We start from the raw sequence: 18453 nt of genomic DNA, 5'->3' as shown, positions 1-18453 counted from the left end.
AGACAAAGTATGAAACACCCTAATTGGTAAGATAAGAATTTATGCTAGTGTTGATTATTGTTTCTATTCAATTCCACCTAAATTCATGAAGCATATATGCTATGGTTTGAATGCTTTCATCTGCTCCAAAATTCATGTTAAAACTTAATCTCCAATGCAACATATGAAGAGATATGGCCTTTAGGAGGTGATTGAGTCATGTCATAAATGGAATTAGGTGCCCTTATGAAAGGGCCTGATGAAGGGAGTTCATCTCTCTTGCTCTTCTGTCCCTTCTTCCATGTAAGGACACAGTATTCATCCCCTCCAGAGGATACAGAAACATGGTACTATCTTGGAATTGGAGATTGGGTCCTCACCAGACACTGAACCTGCTGGTGCCAGGATATTAGACTCCCAGCCTTCAGAACTGTAAGAAATAAATTTCTGTTTTTTAAATAAATTACCCAGTCTGGTATTTTATTATACCAGCACAAACGGACTGAGACAATATATTTTGTGAAGACACTATGCTAGCCTCCTTGCTAGTGATTAGGGAGAAAAAAATGGAATAAGACATTCTCAACATACACATCTGTACAGGTAGTTGGCACAGGTAAACCTAATTTTATTTATTTAAGTTAGCACTGCCAACTGCTTTTCCATAAGGGGACACAGAAAACTCTGCAAGGAAAGTTCTTGGACTCTTCCCATAACACTATAAAGGTCACTCTTGGTTATGTAAATAGAAGTAGAATAACATATGTTATGGGTTGAACATTTGTCACCTTCCAAACTCATGCTGAAATTAATTGCCATTGGAATGGTATCAGGAAGAAGGACGGTTAAGAGGTGGTTAGGCCATGAGGGCTCTGTCCTCATGAACAGATTCATGTCATTATCATGGGAGTGGGTTCCTTATAAAAAGATGAGTTTGTCCCCCTTTTGACTCTCTTTCGGTCACTCACCTTTGGCCATGTTATGATGCAGCAGAAGTCCCTCTCTAAGTGCCAGTCCCTCAATCTTGTACTTCTTAGCCTCCAGAACTGTGAGCCAATAAACTTCAGTTCATCTAAATTCCCAGTCTGTGGCATGCAGTTATAGCAGCATAAATGAACTAAGACAACATCTATCGGCCTACAAATCTCAGATTCTTTTTGTGATTCTGTGGAAATGGAGAGAGGGAAAGTAAATTTACATGGAGATAAGTAGGCTTCAGTGAGGAATAAGATAAAGCCCATGACCCTTTCTCTTTAGATGATTAAAATTATTAGGAACTCTGAGGTTTTAGGATAATGTCAGTCAAAGTTCTCTTGTAGGAAAGGACCTTAAAAACCCAAGAAAACAAGGAAAGTAAGAACCTGTACTAGTGATCCTTGTTCCACACAGAATATATAGATCGTGATGAGGAAGGCCTTTAAGACAACTTCAGACCCAGCCACCCCATAAATGTTAGCTCGTGAGTAAAAACCATAATCACTTGTACCTTGGAGATCTGTGTGGCGATCAGAACCAGAGAGGCAACCGGTCTTTAGGTGCAACACTGTGTCACAGCAATAGAAGCCACAGCAGTTGAAAACCAAGTCTAGTTGGTGGGCAACATGGCCTGGCATTTGTCAAGAGCAACCATGCAAATAAGGCCAAGTAAGCTTCTCAGGATCTTGGACCATTTAGGATGATGGAGTTCATAAAAGCTTGGTGCTGGATTTCCTGCTAACATAAATATATGGAGCTAGAATAATCCACTGGAATGTAAAAGGGGGATTGTTATATTTATACCCCACACTAGTGCAGGGGGCCATACTGGTTACACTTACATATCCCAAGAACATCGGCAAAACAACCCATTTGAAGGGCATAGCACTACTATAGAAGTCTGCAACTAGTGCTAAAGAAACGTTATTAAGAAAGTCCTTTGGGAGGCCAAGGCGGGTGGATGACAAGGTCAGGAGATCGAGACCATCCTGGCTAACATGGTGAAACCTCATCTTTACTAAAAATACAAAAAATTAGTAGGGTGTCGTGGCGGGCGCCTGTAGTCCCAGCTACTCAGGAGACTGAGGTAGGAGAATGGCATGAATCCGGGAGGCAGAGCTTGCAGTGAGCCGAGATTGTGCCACTGCACTCCAGCCTGGGCAACAGAGTGAGACTGTGTCTCAAAAAAAAAAAAAAAAAAGAAAGCCAATCTTTATAAAAATCCTTGGAAATCACCGTAACTGACAAGAACAGAGACAGTTAATAAATGATTATGTATTGTTCAATAATTTCATGTTACATACTGAAAATACTGTATGCAGAATCACATTAGCTCTACCTCCTAAGAGTTGCTATGAGTAATCCTGTATACAAGTGTTAGAAGCCAAATTTGTCAGTAGTGTGAAATGTAGGCATTTTAGTTCAGACTGTAAAATTAAAATTTTAAAGATAATGTTCTAGATTCTGAAGAGAAAATGTGTAACCCCCAACAGAGAATGCTCCAGTATGATACACATAACTATGTCCACAAAGGTAGTGCCAAATACTATATGTACTTGGATAACACAATGGAAAACATGTAAGCAATTGGATTTGCCTCTACCAGCTTGGAGTAACAACCAGGGCCAGCTATACAATTTGTGGCACTCTGTCAAAAATGAAAATGTAGGTCTTATTGCTCAAAAAAGGAATAAAAATAGATCTTTCTTAAAGTATCTAAAATATAAAGCTTTTTCCTTTCTTTCAAAGTCTCCCCCTCTTGATTTGCCATGGTGTTTTTCAATGGCCACTTGCATTATTTTTCCGTTGCTGCATAACAAATTAGCAGCTTAAAACAACAGCCATGTTTTCTGATAGTGTTCATGAGTCAGGAGTCCAGGCATTGCTTAGGTAGGTCCTCTGCTCAAGGTATCTAAAATAGTCAGATGTGTAAAATCAAAGGATGGAATGGTGGTTGTCAGGGGCTGAGATGAGGGGGATATGGGAAATTATTAATCATTGGGCATAAAGTGTCAGTCAAGCAAGGTTAATAAGCTCTAGAGAGCTGCTGTGCAACACTGTGCCCACAGTCAACAAGAATGAATTGTATGCTTAAAAATTTGCTAGAAGCGTAGATCTCATATTAAGTGTTCTTACCACAACAAAATAAAATAAACTGGAATTTAATCTAATGATAGACTCTGATTCTGGAAATGATATTATAAGGATTGAAGAAACATTATTTTTCTGAGATTTATGCTGAAAGTCTTTCAGTTTCTCTATGAAAGTGAGAAAGGCAATGAATATGGAAAACAGCCTGTTTCCTCATCTATATTAATACTTAGCTCACAGGGTTCTGGTAAAGATGAAGTGAAACAGTGGAAGTCCTTCATAAGCTGTAAAGTGCTATTCAGTATAAGAAGACGTTAGTGTTAAAATTAATGACAACAACACATCAACAAATTATTAACAATCCTATTTGCCAATGAAAAATGAAGCCATAATTTTAGTAAGATCCTGCCTCTCACACTGGTTTTTAGAGGTTGACAGTAGGAACTCACACTGTGATCAGTGAGGTAGGAAGAGGGCACCAAGAAATCACTGTAGAAAAGAAGCACTAGAATGGAAGGAAGTTTCCCCTGAAAATATAAGTTCTGCCCTCCGACATACTTGGCTTCTGGCTATTACAGAGAATATCAGGGATACAGAGTACTTTGCTAACAAGAGGCGTGCATGTTCCTACTCAGGACTTTTTTTTTTTTTTTTTTTTTTTGAGATGGAGTCTCGCTTTTGTCGCCCATGCTGGACTTTCTCAGGCGATTACAAAGATCTTTTCCCTCAGGTTAATAAACACTATCCCAAAGTACTTGGAAATAGTCTTAAAAATGTTGGATATGCAAGAAACAATTTTCAGGCCAACTCTTTTGAAAATAGACTCCTCTGTATCTAAAGCAATCCACTATTTGTTACGTCATTCTGAGTCCAGAATTCAGTCCCAATTCACTCCACAAGGTTGACGCTGAAATTGTTAGTAATGAGATACAGTACTCAAGGCAGCTGATGGGTGTGAGACTCTCTGTGATTGAACAGCTTCCCTTAATAAAACAAATTGTGAAGTGCTCCAAGGTCTTCAGTAAAGAAGAGCTGAACGAGAAATCTTTGGGTAAAAAGAAGGGACTTTCTAAAAGGCCCTATATATTTTTTCTCAGTCTTTTGATAATGTAGACTCTAGGGATATGCTGCTCTCCCTTTAGGATTTCTGCTCAATTATAGCCACAACCAAAGTCATTTCCTACTGCTTGTATGGATCAACTAGAAGATCCTTCAAAAAGAACGATATTAAAAACAAGAAGCACATAGAAAGGGACATAACATAGAGTATCCTAAATAGTCAAGCTATAAGTATAGGTTTCTGATCCTGCAGTCACCGACTTACTGACTCATGGACCTCTTCTCTTCTATGTTCTTTCTGAGTATGACCTTCAGCTGTTACCTTGTCTCACTATTGCTCAGGAGCTCATCTAATCTCCTGTGCTGCCCTGTTCCTGTAAAACACAAACTTCCTTTCAATTTAAAACCCAAATCTTTTCATGGATTTCTGCTACCAAGGGCTCTACTACTCAGTTACAGTATCTGGCCTGAAAGCTAAGTCTCATCCCTTCCCAACTCGTTCTGTAAGTTTCTACCTATTTTATTATGATGCATTATGACAGCTCCTTCCCCACTCACCCCATCCCCACCCCAGACCTCAAGGTATTCAAAGGAAAGAATAAACATTTTTTGTGTACCTACTATGAAAAAACATGGACTATATATAAACAGGAAAAAAAAATTGTTTAGGAGGTTTTAAAACAACCTCATATAGGAGGGGCTACTTACCTAGATTTGCAGGGAAACGTATGCTTCCCAGCACTGATACACCACTTTCTTGCTCTTTTAGAAAATTTTGTCTTTACTGGGGACCTGGATCAGTGTTTCCTTTCTTTCTGTATAGTAAGGACATTTTGTAGTCCCCTCTCCTAAGTACTCTGCACAAAGCTAGATGCCCCATTTTGCTTAGTACTCTGAGAAGGGCTCCTTCTTCTGCTTGGTTTTGTGGCTGTGCTCTGTGACCTAAAGTCTTCTTGCCTGGCCAGAAGTCTGTGCTGACTCTTTTATCACCATGGACTTCTTTTGCCTTGCTATGCTATAGGAAAGTTGTTTAAACTTTCTGGAAGAAAGACTTGATTTCTTGACTGAAGTTTTAATTGAAAATGCATCCCCCTAGGCTGGAATACAGATACCACGGTGCATTCTTTGTAATATCATTAAATACATCACCTAACACTCACTCACACTCATTGTCATATATGCTATATATGTTATTTGACTCAATCCTGAAACCAATTCTATAATGAAGAAAGTCTCCAAGGAGTAAAATAATCAAGGATGCAAACGCCATTTGTCTGTCTCCAATGACCAGGTTTATACCATTTTAATTTGCCACTAGGGTTAGTAGTCGCTCCAATAACATTGAGACAGTTTGAATATATGTTTTGGTGTCAAAGGTGAAAAATAGTTTTTCTCCTTGGTCCCAATACCTATTCTAGTAGGTAACCTTGAGCCCACCCCAGCTTCTTGCCTGTCCTCAGGGTTCTGCTTTTCCCTCAGTTGTCCCTTAACCTGCTCCTATGCCCAAGCCCTGCCGACCAGCTTGAACTTTTTCTGGGGCTCTGTTGGAAAATACCATCTTCTCATTTCTCCAGAAGCATTCTCATGGGGCTGTGTTGAAGAGTGGATTTGTAACCAATTTTTTCATCAACATAATCTCAACTGCTTTGTGTCTTCCAGAAGTTCCTCAAACTGGGTGTCTTGTCCACCACCAGCATTTTCCTTGTTTTCCAAGGCTACTTCGGGTGCATTCATATTTTTATGTCTGTCATTTCCGTGGAATTTTGGAAGGAAAACACTATAACCTTTCCTTAGTACACAATTTTGAAGCAAAACCTCTTATCTAAGTTTTCTAATTTTTTTCTAGAATTATTATAGTTCAGTATAACAGAGATCTGAGAAGAGTTTTTAAAAACAACGAAATACTTCTAACACTAAGGCTTGGCACTCCAAGCTAATGAAGATCCTCCTGAAGTCTGTTACTTCCAGGCATGACAGTTAGGTCTCCAGAGAAAATCACTTAAGAAAGCCTTGGTCCTTGACCAAATGAAGTTTTCCTTGTATTGTTTTAGGTTAAAAATAAGAAAAGAATGACTCAGCAAGTTTTGGCCTATATATTGTCATTCTGTACAACTCCCTAAATATTTAAATCTAAATTAAAACATAAACCGACTGAAGAATGTCTTTCTCTAGGCCCAAGGACAGTTTGATGCAGGAAATTTAAATATTATTTATATGTTGCTTTGTTATGAAATTTATCTGCCTTGCCAACAAGTGTGGTAATTTAAAAGCTGGGTTTTTTAATTAACAGTCTTGACCTATATTTTGCTACCAATAAAAGTCTGGTTCCTAAATGTAATTCCATACTAAATTCACTGCTTGTACATGAAGAAAAATCTAAATTAATTGACATGTAAAGGAGTGGCTCTCAGCAGAAAGCCATAATAATTGCATGATAGAAGTTTAATATCATTGTTCTTTGCATCTGAAAATGTCATCAATAGCATGCATTGTAAGTGAAGGGAAAAAACCCAGCGTACTGTATGCATCTGCACAGCCCTCTGCAAATGTTTATGGGAACAGTTCAGAGGACTTATTATTGGTGGTTGGTTCCTAAGCTGTAAACATTCAACATTACATAGAGGTAGGTCTTAACATCTTTTCTGTGGCTCACTTTGCATTTTAGACCCTCTCCCACTCAGCTTTGTCCATAGCAGTTTAGACACCCATGATATTCAGAAGACCTTTTGGAAGGTTTGCAATAGCTTGGTTTTACAATGAAATGACAGTCTCCCTTATTTGTGACTTGAAATACTATTTCATGTTTCAATAATTTTAAGCAACTAAGGAGATAAATAAGGCTCCATGAATAGTATCTATTACAAAATTCTTTTAAAATAAGCTTATAGATTGTAGAATTAAAACATGGAGTAGAATTTGTAGAATGTAATAGGAAGGACTAAATACATGAAAACAGATATTTTCACTAGAATTAGACTAGAAGAAACAATTATCACAATTCTAGAAATAAGTATTCATGGATTAACTCAAAGAGAAGCGGATTCAGCTACTCAGCTTTGTAATTTAAAGTGCATTAGTTTTTTGGTCTTGTTGTACCTTAGACTTGCTAAATTAATCATTTTACCTATTCTTACCACAGACAATGACTTACTCTCTACCAAATAAAACGTTGGTTTATAAGGAATTATTTCTTTGATGATTCTGATATTGCTTATATTTTTATTGTCTCTTCCATAGTAATGACAAATTGCTATTAAACAATTTACACAGTTCACATCATTAAACATCTAGTTACAATACCTGGCATTACAATATTTTGATTTTGTGAAATGTTATACTATATGCTTTATATTTTAGAAAAATTAAGATCATAGCCACTAGCCACAGAAACCTTTCATATCTCAAAACTTTAACTGATATAATTTCTCTGCTTATTATTTTCAATAATTTAAAATATTCAAAATGTCATGACTACTTACTAGTGCTCATTTATAACCTAAAATAATCTGTTATTCCTATTGCTTAGAATTCTATTATTATACTTAGCATTTGAGGCTCTCTGTAATCTGGCATTTTCCTTACTCAACAAATGTCCTTTCTACCACTCTGTAGCATGAGTGGATCATTCTATTCAAGATAATATTTTAAATTGTCCCATAAATATATCAGGCTCATTCCCATCACTCTTTTATTCATATTGCTCCCCAAAATGTAACATCCTCTTCTCTCTTTTTACCATCTATCTATATTCTAGTATTATGATCATTCAGAATACCTATATAATTAATTACCTTTAAAGAAAGGAAATTAGAACCTCACTTCATACATTCAAAAACGTTAGATATATTAAAAAGTCTAAAAATTAAAGTATAACACAGCTAGAAGAAAATATATGTAAATATTTGAACACAGAATAAAGTCTAAATATAAAACCAATGGAATAAATTATAAATTATCACTGGATTTCATAAAAACAAAGTTCCATACACTAAAAATAACCATTGAACAAACTGAAATGACAAGAAACTGAACTCCTATATCAGAAACTGTATAAAAGATACCTTCTTAAGTTTCCCTTTCCAAATATTTCAGAGAACACCTGAAGGCTATTTATACCAAGCAAAACAGAAATATTACAGTCAAATATATTTCCAATAAGGATTTTCTGCAGGTTTATTTTAGGGAATCTGCTTATTTTTGCTGCTTAATTCTAAACCCTCCCATTAGGTATTTTAAATGCCTGGGCTTCGTTTTTTTCAACAAATGTTTTTATTGCACTGCAGCCACATGCCAGGAATTGTGCTAGATACAAAAATGCACTGATGTGTAAAACAAATATGATCCCATCACACAACTGAAGCCTAGTGGAAGATAAACTTTAATCAAGTAATCACACAAATTGTGGCTTATAAACAAAAGGTGCAGGGCACTATGAGAGCATATAAAAGCAACTTCACCTATTGGGGATATGGGATATGTATATGTCAAGGAAGACTTCTTATCTACATACAACTGTAAGCTTTTAAAACAGCAGGGCTCTATCATAAATAGATTCTGCACCTTTCTGCATCTAACACAGTAAGTCTTCTATATTTGTTAAATAATTTGTTCCAATTAAAATTTGAGGCTGTCCTTACTAACTAGCCTTCTTTTTCAGTGGTGTGCATGAAGTCAGCTTTAGAATGATCAATACTGTAGACTAGACACTTTAAGAGAGACAATTTAGAAAGACACACTTTTATTCTTATGATTAAACAATTTAAAAAGAAATCTGTTTATATGATTTAATAATCAATATTATCAGATTTAATGGTAAAATACCATTTAAACATCAAAGGAATAACGTTAATTCATATTTCTTTAAAAAATTATTCACATAATTCATGAACTAAAACAGCTTTAAAATTTTTTTCACTAACAGTACACATAGGTCCTTGAAAGTTTTTTAAAAGCATGTATTTTTACATTGTGTATCCTGGAAGTTTATTTATTACTAATTCACAAATATCTTTGCATTGCTTGGAAATATTTAGTGAACCAACATCATCATTGCCTTCTTCAAAGTGATCTGATGTACTGCTATCCAGGACATTAAGTTCGGACACATTTGAAGGCAGGTAAGAACTCACCTGGGATGTTTGTGGTGACTGGCTTTTTTCTAAAGATTTCCAACTACTTCTTGTTTTAACAGAGATGTCTTGAGCTCTCTTTGTAATTTCAGAATTGTGCATACTATTTTGATCTATCTGGTTTTCTTTTTGTTCAGTCCAATGTGTTGAAGATAAATCACTAGCAGAGATACTAGATGCTTCCTCCAAACTTTTATCCTGAGTCTTTGAAATATGAAATTTTCTGTATGAGTGTACAGGTGACCCGGCTGAAAAAGGTGGGCTAAGGATAGAACTCCTGTCACTACTATTTTTCTTTTTGGACACTCCTGTGTCACTAGACTTGCTTGTATATTGACTATGTTTTGGATTTTCTGTCCTTGAACTGCTATCATGAGCTTTGAAACTTCTGCTGGTGTCCTCACTGGTACAGAAATCTTCAGAATAGCAAGGGCTAGACAAATCATCTGAATACTTCAGTTCTGAGATGTTTTCATAGCAACTATTTTTACCTGTTCTCTTGTCACTTATATCAGCCATAAGAATGTCATTATCTGTGGTTTTGACCTGTCTAATATCTATTTCCTTATCTACAATTCTGTCAACAACAGCATCCTGTTGGAAAACACATGGACTTTGGATTTTCATTTCCACATTTCCTCCCAGAATATTTGTAGGGGTAAGCCTTTCTGGAATAATGGAATTTGCAGGACTCACAACTTCTTCCAATGAAACATTATTGATTCTATTTTTACTACAATCAACTGTCTTTTTTTCAGTTGCATATTTCAGTTTAGTTTCTTTACTTGTGCTGGGCTCATCAAAAACTCCACTGATTTGTCTTGAGGTATCACTATTTTCAGTGAAAGATGCATCTGAATCTAAATACTTATCTTCAGGCAGTTGTGGCTTCTGACTTTGTTCTGCAGAGCTTAATAGTTTAACTTTGGATGACGGAATTCTGAATTTTGTACCCAACATTTGTGATTGTCTTTTTCTATATAGTTCTCTTTTTTCATGTACCACCAACATATCAGGATTTGTCAGCTTTAAACGTAGTCTTAGTGTATTTGTTAAGCCATAAAGTAGCCTCCCTTTTGGAACTCTTTTATGGAGGGCACCACTGCTCTTTTCAGAATATTTATCTTCCTTATAGTTTTCAATTTGGTTCTTTTTATACTGAAGACTCACTGACTTTTCACATCCCCCCACAGAACGCTTATCCTTCTTGGCTTCAGACCGGCATGTGGATTTGGCAGAAGATTCGGGTGACTTCTTATCCTCAGTCCTATATAACCAGGCTAGGTGAGGATGTATATGAGCAGGACTTGTCACAGGTTGGTCATATAACAAGGACAACTCAACTAACAAAGCATTTAACAAAGGCAACTGCCTTATTGTATTAATTCGATTTTGTTCAGTTTGACATGTTTGATTAGTTGCTCCTATATTCTGAATATGTGGAGGATTTACAAGCATTGGAGGATGTTCGTGTGCTGCAGAACTTGGATGCTTTAGACAACTCCTGTGTGCTGGGGGATTTACACGCTTTTTTTCAGGAGAAGCATCATCCATTTCCTCAGGTGCATTCATTTGAGGCTCAATGGTGATTTTAGCCTGTGCAGGGGGCGGTTTTTCTTGGGTCAAGTTAGTGTAATACAAAGGAGGAGGGCAAAATATATTGGTCTCCATGTCCAATTCTGTGACTTCCTCATTTAGGGAGCTAACATTTCTCCCATTGCCAGCACCTGAACATGTAACAACAGAATTGGTTTTGCCATTCTCCACAGAACCCACATTATCACATTCGGCCTTACTTTTAACCATTTCCTTCAAATCCTTCTGTGCCTCTGGGATTTCTAACTCCCCCAGCGGCTTATCAGCCTCTTTTGGGCTTGGCTGTGAGGCTGGCTGCTGCAGCTGCTGTCTTTCCTGCTGGGTTTGGGGACTGACCTCCGCTCCTCCTCCTGTGCGGGTGAAGGTGAGGGGCCGCTCAAGTTGGCTCAGCAGGCGGCTTCCCAGGTCAGTCAGGCGGTAGGCCAGTGCAATGTCCCCAGTCCGCTCGCCCACTCGATTATGCAGGGGGAAACGTCCCCGGTGACGGTGGGAGCATCCGGAGGCGGCCGGCCCCACGACCCTGTGCGCTGCGGTGGCCAGCGAAATGTCGCAGGCCCCCAGGAGCTGTGGGGTGGGCGTCGGGCGCCCAGGGGGCAGCTGCAGCAGCAAGGTGGCAAGCGGGGTCCGCAGGAGCCGGCAGTGCAGGGTAGCAGGCTGCAGGCGGAAGAGGCAGGACTTGCCGCGACCGAAGCGGATGACACCGGGCCACGGTTCGGCGGCGGGAGCGCCGGGGCCGTCAGGAGGGTAAACCAACAGCGTGGGGAAGTCCAGCAGGCGGAAGGCCACGGCGGGGCACAGACCGCGCGGCGACGAGGCCTCCCCCTGCTCCTTTTCCTCCTCTTCCTCCTCCTGCTCCACTGCGGCAGCGGGGGACGGCAGCAGCCGGGCTTCCAAACGCACCCAGTCCACCAGCAGCTCCAGCGAGAAGAGCCGCTCGGACAGCGAGGCCGCCATTGCTGTTGCCCCAGGAAACGCCGCCGCGGGCTCCGCAAACGAGAAGCTGAAGCCCCGGGGTCTCACGAGAAACCGGAGCAAAAGGCATCGCTGCCTGCTATCTCGCGAGATTTGCGGAAGCGCTCCAGCGGGTCTCGGGCGGTGTCTGCTTTGGGGGTTTTGCTGCTCAATGTGTTTGGCCCCTTTGTATGCATACTTGTGAGCCGTTTTTTGCCACCAACCTTGTATTAAGACAATTGATGATAATGCTGAGGATATAAGTGGTAAAAGACAGTGAGTTTTTTGGGTAATGGTTTTATCACTGCAGATCTTATGTAACTTGGGGGTCAGATCAATATACCTGAGGAATATTGAAAGAAAATCAGGACTCTCCTTCCTTTCCCATGCTAAACAGAGCCAGTTAGTTAACTGTCCACAGTGGGCCATCTCTGTGTCTGCTGTTCTACCCAAAAGATGGTGACACTGCTGGGATGGCCAGGGAGCCCCTGCCTCATCAATTACAGTAGTACTGAGACAGACACACCACACACACACGGAGTGTGAATACACTGGCAAAAACTCTCCTTGGCTGAACTTTGGTCAGGCTCATCTAAGCCTTCTTTCCGACTAGGCCTTGACCTTGGCTTCCAATCCTGTGGACCCTGGATCACCGAGTTGTAGCAAAGGTCTCGCTACGGCTGTTGAGAGAGAACCCCCAACCCTTCATACCTGATTACCGTCGATACCTGATCAAATTCTTCATTTTCTATCATTGGTATCTGACCACCCTGGCCTGGCTTCAGCAAGAATCCTATTAGGCCTGCTTAATCAGAACCCTCCCACCCGTGATGTTCCCTATCAGTAAGTTTCCATCCACTTGACCTGACGCCCCCTTGGCTTTAAATCCCCACTTGTCCATGCTGTAATTGGAATTGAGCCCAGCTCTGTATTGAGGTCTCTTTTCTCTTATTGCAGTAGTTCCTGACTACAGTGTTTTTGCCACTTCAACTACTGTCTGGCCCTGTTTTTTATTTGACAACATTTCCAGCTAAGCAATCATGATGCATGAGAGTAATGTTAATGATTCCATCAATAAAACAAATGTGTGTACATAAATATACACACATCTACAGAGACACACAGAACTTGCTGCTCTATCCAGATATTTTAAGAAACATACTCCTAACCTCAATGAGCTAGCCAGCTAGGAATCCAAGGCCAGTTTTTGGAGAGCCTTGAATGCCATGGTAAAGAATTTGGACTATATTCTGTCCAAATTTTTTTGATTGAATAAGTACATCATAGCAATATTTGGAAATGTATCATGGGGAGGAATACAAAGGATGGATTCTACTAATTAGAAATTGGATTCAGAGCAATCTATTAGAAGACTACTGCAGTGGTCTAAGAGGCAGATAATTATGACCTGCACATGGTCAGGACTAGTGGAAATTAAAAAGAGGTGGCAGAAGAGGCATTTGTGATGGAGGAATTTTAAAATTTGGTGAATGGGAAAGAAAAGTCATGGGTGAAAAACTTCTGCTACTGAAGGTGAAAATATTGAGGAGGCACAGATTTGACGGAAAAAAATACTTTGAGTTTTGAGATATGTAAAGCTTGAGGTACCTGCTGCTGGGCATTATATATGTACCGCTTTATTCAGCTTTATAAATTATAGTTAAATTATATTGCTTCAGTGCTCAGAAGAACATTGTGAAGCTCAAGAGAAATTCAGAACTGGAGGGATATGATGCTTTAGTGTGAAGACGTGAGAGAGAAGTCTCATTGCAATATATAAATACAAGATACTTCTCGGACCAGATGCGGTGGCTCACGCCTGTAATCCCAGCACTTTGGGAGGCCGAGGCAGGCAGAACACGAGGTCAAGAGATCGAGGCCATCCTGGCCAACATGATGAAACCCCGTCTCTACTAAAAATACAAAAATCAGCTGGGTGTGGTGGTGCATGCCTGTAATCCCAGGTACTTGGGAGGCTGAGGCAGGAGAATCGCTTGAACCAGGGAGTTGGAGGTTGCAGTGAGTGAGCCGAGATCGCACCACTGCACTCCAGCCTGGTGACAAAGCGAGACTCCATCTAAAAAAAAAAAAAAAAATTACAAGATACTTCTCTTGGCTTTGAGAATCTTGCTATATACTTGCAGAGGACACATATCAAGCAACATCCTCAATGGATAGATGATGTAGAGCAATAAAAAAAAGACATCATCACAAGTGAAAAGCAATGAGGTATTGAGTCCATGTGCGCCAGAGAAATACAGTAGACAAAATTCCTCTTAGAAGATATCCTGTAGTTAGCCTTTTGAGTAAAGTTAATAGTGTGCACTAGTAGCACTTGTATGTCTCTTACATATGAATAGAAAAAGCGAAGTCCCTCTTCTATAAAGACATTATTTCTGCAATATGTAGTTTCTGCAATGATAATAACTTCTCTACCCAGCTACTCTACATGACTGGTATTATAATGTATGAATAATATTTTATACTTGTAAATAATGCCAAAAGTAACAAATAAAATTTTGCCATGACAAATATTTTCCCCATGTTTCTACACCACACATGGAGAAGTAGCACAGTGCAGTAGCTGAGCGCCTGGGTTCTGGAAGCAAACTACCTGGCTCAAATCCTGGTTCTGTGACCTTATACTAGTTTCTGAACTCTCTGTGAATCATTATCCTCATTTGAAAAATATAGTTACACTAACTACCTCATAAAAATATTATGTGTGTTAAGTGAATTAATACTTACAAAACTCTTAGAACAGTGCCTAGCATATAGTAAATATTTGTTAAAATAAATATTGTTTTATTTATTATTTGCCACATGGCACACTTTTTAGCTGAGTGTTTAAAACACTGCTATTGTAGTTAGCAAAAAAATAATTTATCCAACGTGGGCCCATTATTTTCAATCTGTAAAAGGTTTTATGCTCTGTATTTTATTTTTCATGCAGGAGCTAGCTGTTTTTTTCACAGGTCAAGGTCAGGCTAGGCAAGAGACTGGATTATTGAACTATAAAAAGCTACTGTCATTAGAGAAAGAAGTAGGGAAGGACACAAGTGAAAAGTATGAGTTTCAGTGTGTGATATGCTGAGTTTGATACATGATATACATCCAGGTAGATAGATCTAAGTTAGATATATGGATATGAAACTTACAAGAGAGATCTGGGCTGAAAGGATACATCAAAAGTTGGATGTCAACCTAATTTCTTCATATAAGACCTGAATTAGTATAGTAATGAGACACTATTTTCTTCTTTTATGTAAATTACTTTGAAACAGTGCATGTTGCAAGAATTTTGGGTTGATCTCTGATGATCAGATATGATGTTAACTACTTTTTCTAGGGGAAATAACTTTGGGGTGAAAAGGGGCAAAGGAAGTCATCATCATTAACTAAAGGTAGTACAGCTTCAAGACATGATGGGACTAATAATTTGGGCTGGAAGCAGAAACCAAATTAGTAAAATTCACTGAGCTGTGTGAGTCTGGCTCTTTAGAGGCAAACCTGTTTTCATAGGGCTGTGGACCCCAAGGAATAGATTCAGCAGATGGATCATTGTAGCAAGAGTTGTAACAAAATGGCAGTCGTTGGAGTTAAGTGGGAGAGCAGTTGGTCTAGTTTGGAGCAGAAGTCCAGATATATAGGAAATGTCATGGGGGCTGGAAAACCCAAGTGCATGTCATGGATGCAACCTAATCTACTCAGCTTCAGAAAATGGAAAGGAGCTCCTGGGCTGTCGAGGGAAGTGACATGGCTATCCAGTTGTGTGCACTGAACAAACACTGATTAGGAGAAATGTGTGTCTAGTTGACATGAAAATGTCCAAGACTTACTCTAGAAGCACCAAATACTAATTCCAGGTCTCACTATCGGGGACATCCTGCTGCCTACAGACTTCCTTGCTTAATCAGGATGAGCTCTAGAACCAAGTATAACCACCCATAATTGGCAGAGACAGAGGGGACTGAAGACATCCTATCCCGCCAGGTGGAACATACAGAGCTGAGCGAAGAAGAACCTGTGTGGTTCTAACTAGGAGGAAATGAAATTCAACATCCCTTATTTCAGAATAATTCTTTACACCAGTGTTTCCTTTCCCCAACAAAAAGAATATAACACAAATACCACATGATCTTACTTATAAGTGGGAGCTAAACATTGAGTACACTTGGACATAAAGATGGGGATAATGGACACTGGGGACTACTAGAGGGGAGAGGGTGGAGAAGGAGGGTTGAAAAACTACCTATAGGAGACTATGCTCACTACCTGGGTGAAGGGATCCTTTGTACACCAAACCTCAGTCACCCGCCATTTAATAAAATAATGAAAGACCTAATAAGAAATAATTCTACAGGAAAATGTCTTTAAAAAAAAACCAGAAAATGTAATCTGCAATCTTGAAAGTAGAAATGTGAAGAGACCAAGTGAAAGTCTTTTTCCCTCGACCATGGTTTAAAATCCCTAGCATATGCTCATTTGCATGGCAAGCCTGGGAACCTTAGCTCTTAGAGTTCCTTGAGAGACAGACTGGGAAGTTGGGAGTTCTTATTGCAGCTCTCTTTCCCTCAGGTCCTCTTCTGTTGTCTCCCAAGGACTTGCATTTCAGGATTCTAGATACATATTGTATTTCTGGAGCAAGACAATTTCAATCAGGAGAAGCCTATTTCTAGTCATTCATTCAGGACTTCAGATAAAAGCCTGTTTTAAGCAGAAAGCTGCCCTGCCTCTAAGACCTGATTATAGGCTCCTGAAATCTAAGCCAGATATCTTCCTCTTTACTAACTGGGTTACAAATGGACCTCACACAACTTAAACACCACAAATGACCAGAACTTTAATAACATTCACCTTGACGTGTTTCATTATTGGTAAAGATGATATGACTCTGTCTTCAGAATAAATCTCCAGTGTTTGAATGTGGATCTTTTTCTTTGTTTCCAGTCTTTTCATTCCCTTCTATTTCTAAACTTCTGGAAAGGGGGAATCATAGCTTTTCCATGTGTTGTCATTAAATCAGGGGCAGAGTTATGATCAGAACATGATTACCATTTCCAATATCACAGATACAAAATAGCTGTGGTAAATAAATGCAAATAATCTAAAAATATTCTGCAAAATGGTACCAAGGCTCTGCATTGCATTTTCAGTTTTTATTTTAAACTTGCTAGAACTTGATATTGGAAATTCATTCACTTGAGAAGAAGGACAAGGAGAAAGATTAGAGGATGGAAGGAAGGGAGGGGCTGGGGGTTGGAGAGTAAACAAAGGAACTACTAGAGATTAAAGAGAAAGAATGGCCTATACCCCACTCCAATAAATCTCTCTACCAGAAAGGAAGGGGAAAAACAAATTATGAAGCATCCTAAGGTATTGGAAATGTACGAGTTCATTAATAAGCAAAATCGTATGTACAATTGGTAGGAGTGGTTTAGTGAAAATTATTTGACTGTCACTGGCAATTAGAAATGTATCATAGTGGAGGCCGGGTGCGGTGGCTCACGCCTATAATCCCAGCACTTTGGGAGGCCAAGGCGGGCTGATCACAAGGTCAAGAGATTGAGACCAACCTGGCCAATATGGTGAAATCCCGTCTCTACTAAAAATACAAAAATTAGCTGGGCATGGTGGTGCGTGCCTGTCATCCCAGCTACTTGAGAGGCTGAGGCAGGAGAATCTCTTGAACTTGGAAGGCGGAGGTTGCAGTGAGCTGAGATCACTCCACTGCACTCCAGCCTGGGCGACAAGAATGAAACTCCATCTCAAAAAAAAAAAAAAAGAAAGAAAAGAAAGAAAAGAAATGTAGCATAGTGGAATCAACATAGTCTTTGAAGTTGAGCAGTCCTCGATTAAAATATCAGCTTCTCCATTTTATACCCATGTAATTCTAGGACAGGTTCTTCAACTCAGGGAATTTTCCTCCCGTGTTATCTTACAGATTTTCAAACTATGCTGTGCATGTTAAAATGCAGAATCTTAGGTCCATCTTCCAGAGATTTTGATTTCCTAGGTCTCAGGCAAGGCCCAGAAATATACATTTCTAGCTGTCATCCCAGATGATTTTGATACAGGGAGTTACTGGACTTTTCTTTGAGAACCACCATCCTAGTTTCTGGCACATTGCAGATAACCATATTTCTGTCTTCTGCATTTGTAACAAGTATATGCTGATCATATAGTAGTATCATATACAACAAGTAGTATAATCATGCCAATAAAATAGTATGAAAGATTTATGTAATCATAGCTCCTTCTTTCACACTTTCAGTGTGAAATGGAAGAAATGAAGTAGGTAACCTTTAGCAATGAAGCATTACTGTCAACATGCCACCATGCCAAGAGATGCCGATGTAGCAGCAACAACAGCAGCCTTAAGAGAGAGACAGCTTCCCATAAAGTACTCAGAAGAAGCTTCAGAAAGCCCCCAGAGGAAGGTAGTTTATGAGAAACCCCCTTATAAGCAGAACGCTGCCTGCCAAGACACCAAAACCACTGTTCTGCACCAGGAAAGACTGACTATGGGTTCCTTGGACAGAGTACCCTCCTGCCTTCAGTTAGCAGGGAGGGCTGAAAGATAAAATCTTGCTCATAAATTCTTTCCTTTCCATGCACATAAACACCGTTAGGTATTTTGGCCTAGACCACCTTGTCAAGGCTCTGTAAATAG

The 18453-nt window shown here is 39.3% G+C and overlaps 1 protein-coding gene and 1 long non-coding RNA gene across 2 annotated transcripts in view, besides 3 other annotated features; both read right to left on the bottom strand.

The window, feature by feature from the left end:
* The window catches only part of LOC101927711 (uncharacterized), a 92142-nt gene extending 90238 nt beyond the window's left edge, over positions 1–1904 (bottom strand). Inside the window, exons 1-2 of the long non-coding RNA XR_949278.3 lie at positions 1466–1904; positions 948–1144 (exon numbers count right to left, since the gene is read on the bottom strand). This is a non-coding gene — a long non-coding RNA (uncharacterized LOC101927711). The remainder of the gene's footprint in view (positions 1–947; positions 1145–1465) is intronic.
* Positions 1905–7303: 5399 nt separating this feature from the next.
* Positions 7304–11817, bottom strand: MAP10 (microtubule associated protein 10). The gene has a single exon (NM_019090.3). The coding sequence runs from the start codon at positions 11781–11783 to the stop codon at positions 9066–9068; it is 2718 nt and encodes a 905-aa protein (NP_061963.3). The 5' UTR covers positions 11784–11817; the 3' UTR covers positions 7304–9065.
* Positions 10828–11424: an enhancer, noted in NCBI's record as "H3K27ac-H3K4me1 hESC enhancer chr1:232941555-232942151 (GRCh37/hg19 assembly coordinates)". NCBI's record gives its function as "activates a minimal SCP1, AML or CMV promoter by ChIP-STARR-seq in primed H9 embryonic stem cells {active_cell/tissue: H9 hESC(primed)}" and the evidence as "EXISTENCE:reporter gene assay evidence [ECO:0000049][PMID:30033119]".
* Positions 11425–12022: an enhancer, noted in NCBI's record as "H3K27ac-H3K4me1 hESC enhancer chr1:232940957-232941554 (GRCh37/hg19 assembly coordinates)". NCBI's record gives its function as "activates a minimal SCP1, AML or CMV promoter by ChIP-STARR-seq in primed H9 embryonic stem cells {active_cell/tissue: H9 hESC(primed)}" and the evidence as "EXISTENCE:reporter gene assay evidence [ECO:0000049][PMID:30033119]".
* Positions 11634–11713: an enhancer, noted in NCBI's record as "active region_2732". NCBI's record gives its function as "activates an Ori minimal core promoter by ATAC-STARR-seq in GM12878 lymphoblastoid cells {active_cell/tissue: GM12878}" and the evidence as "EXISTENCE:reporter gene assay evidence [ECO:0000049][PMID:35858748]".

This window comes from Homo sapiens, chromosome 1 (genome assembly GCF_000001405.40).
Source record: "Homo sapiens chromosome 1, GRCh38.p14 Primary Assembly".
NCBI lineage: Eukaryota > Metazoa > Chordata > Mammalia > Primates > Hominidae > Homo > Homo sapiens.
Note: the sequence above shows the minus strand (reverse complement) of the source record. Positions and strands in the feature narration are given on the sequence as shown.

Bases quoted from the DNA above. Each gene is read 5' to 3' on its own strand.
- MAP10 (NM_019090.3), bottom strand. From the start codon at position 11,783: ATGGCGGCCTCGCTGTCCGAGCGGCTCTTCTCGCTGGAGCTGCTGGTG.